This window comes from Homo sapiens, chromosome 2 (genome assembly GCF_000001405.40).
Source record: "Homo sapiens chromosome 2, GRCh38.p14 Primary Assembly".
In the NCBI taxonomy this organism is placed as follows: domain Eukaryota; kingdom Metazoa; phylum Chordata; class Mammalia; order Primates; family Hominidae; genus Homo; species Homo sapiens.
In genome coordinates this window covers 224,371,860-224,373,783 of record NC_000002.12, presented here as the reverse complement: position 1 = coordinate 224,373,783, position 1,924 = coordinate 224,371,860, and the positions used below count along the sequence as shown (strand labels likewise).

Sequence of the window (1,924 nt, the reverse complement as noted above, 5' to 3'; positions counted from 1 at the left end):
TGGCACAGGGGTTGCCACAAAGCTTCAATTTGTAAAATAAAAAAAAAAAAACCCAAAATCTGCAAAAAAACAATGAAGCAAACACAATAAAACAAGGTATGCCTGTATAGGCATATTAAAAATCAGTTGCGTTGCAGTTATTTGGCTATTTTTAACCTTATTAATAATATTTCACACTTTTTGCAGGTATTATTTGTTCATTGCTAAACGTTAACAGAGATGGTAACATTTGGAAGCTTGCAAACATATTAGTTTATTAGTGGAAGTAGAGCAAGGGATGTGAGATTTGAGGGTGGAGCAGGAGACGATAGGAAGAGATGGACACACCTTGGCTTACAAAGGCAGGTGAAGCTGGAGCCTCAGCAGCAGCTGCCATGTGCCTTCTGCTTGATGGGAACTTTGTAAGGCAGCCTTGGTCTTTCCATTGCCCTTCAACAACCTGCTCGGTCACTCCAGTTATGCATGGAAGGATTGCTGGTGGAAAGGCTCCTTCCTTCCCTCCCAGAGAAAGAAGGAGAAAGGGGAAGGGAAACATAAAACAGGAGAATGGAGCCACAAGCACACACTGCATTTTCTGTTGATTAAAAGCTCCTCAATTACATTTCCATGTTACAAAATATATTCAGAAGTTCCTGAAAAACTCACTACCGTGTGACTTCCTAGCATCTTCTCTAAGCCATCATGGATTGGTCTTTCCCTTTCGCTCTGTTCCTTTCTCTTCCCTTTCCTTCCCTTTTTATTTCTTTTCCCTTCCCTCCCTCTGTTTCTCCCTTCTTTTTGTGCTTCAATTTGATCCTCTCTTTATTCTTTGCTCTGTTTTAAAATACTTTTTCTTTGCTGCATCTCCCAGGATTCCCTCAAGGGGCTGAGACGCAGCTGCAACTTCTAAATGGGCCTCCTCGCCTAAGCTCAGAGAATGAGCAATAAGAGATCTCTGGGGAAATTCTCCCTAGTTTCTAGTTCATTTCAGGATTCTGCTCTGGGTCAACTAAACCCACGTCACTTAGAAACAAACTGATCTCTGCATCCACAGCTCCCTTGTTTTGCACCTACTAAATCCTTACCCGAGGTTTGAGATGTTTCTTAAACATTTCTCACAATTCGCAATGTTTAAAATTCGCTGTAGCAAGTAAGAGGAAAAGGTGCTTATGGCCCCTAGGCCACATAATTAGGATGTATGTTATTAAAAACTTGATTTCATCAAAATTTATTTTCTAATATAATTATTTAAAAAGTCTTGTTATTCCAGAGAACCTAGCTGAGTTATTGGAGACACAAAGTCTCTCTTATTGGAAGAAGAAATGTATTGTTTTCACAAATCCCAGTTCTGCCAGAGATGTTTCTGAGGTGAGTCTCTTGAGAACAATAATTCTTTTTTTTCTTTTGTACTTTATTACTTATTTTTTACCTTTAATTGGTATGATTCCATATTCAAAATTTAATAAAAGAAATATTCATTGTCTATTTCTTTTTTGGACACTTATTTTTTATTTGTTCTTAGACATTCACTTCTGAATATTATCATAATTAGTTTCATTGATTATAGCTCAAAATAATTTTGTCATATATAAAATTTCTTCCATATGTCAAAAATGCAATTTAGGCCTTTCTTACATAAACATCTCTATTGTCAAGCAAAAAGCTGCTCTTAACTGAGTTTATTTCTTTTTTTTAACTTTTAAGTTCAGGGGTACATGTGCAGGTTTGTTTTATAGGTAAACTTGTGTCATGGGGGTTGGTTGTATGATTATTTTGTCACACCAGGTATTAAGCCTGGTACCCATTAGTTATTTTTCCTGATCCTCTCCCTCCTCCCACACTTCACCCTCTGATATGCCTCAGTGTCTATTGTTCCCCTCTGTGTCCATGTGTTCTCATCATTTAGCTCTCATTTATAAATGAGAACATGCAGTATTTGGTTTTC

General features: G+C 37.3%; 1 annotated feature.

Annotated features, from left to right (window-relative positions):
- Positions 478-772: a silencer, noted in NCBI's record as "tiled region #15583; HepG2 Repressive non-DNase unmatched - State 23:Low". NCBI's record gives its function as "represses a minimal TATA promoter and a strong SV40 promoter by Sharpr-MPRA in HepG2 cells {active_cell/tissue: HepG2}" and the evidence as "EXISTENCE:reporter gene assay evidence [ECO:0000049][PMID:27701403]".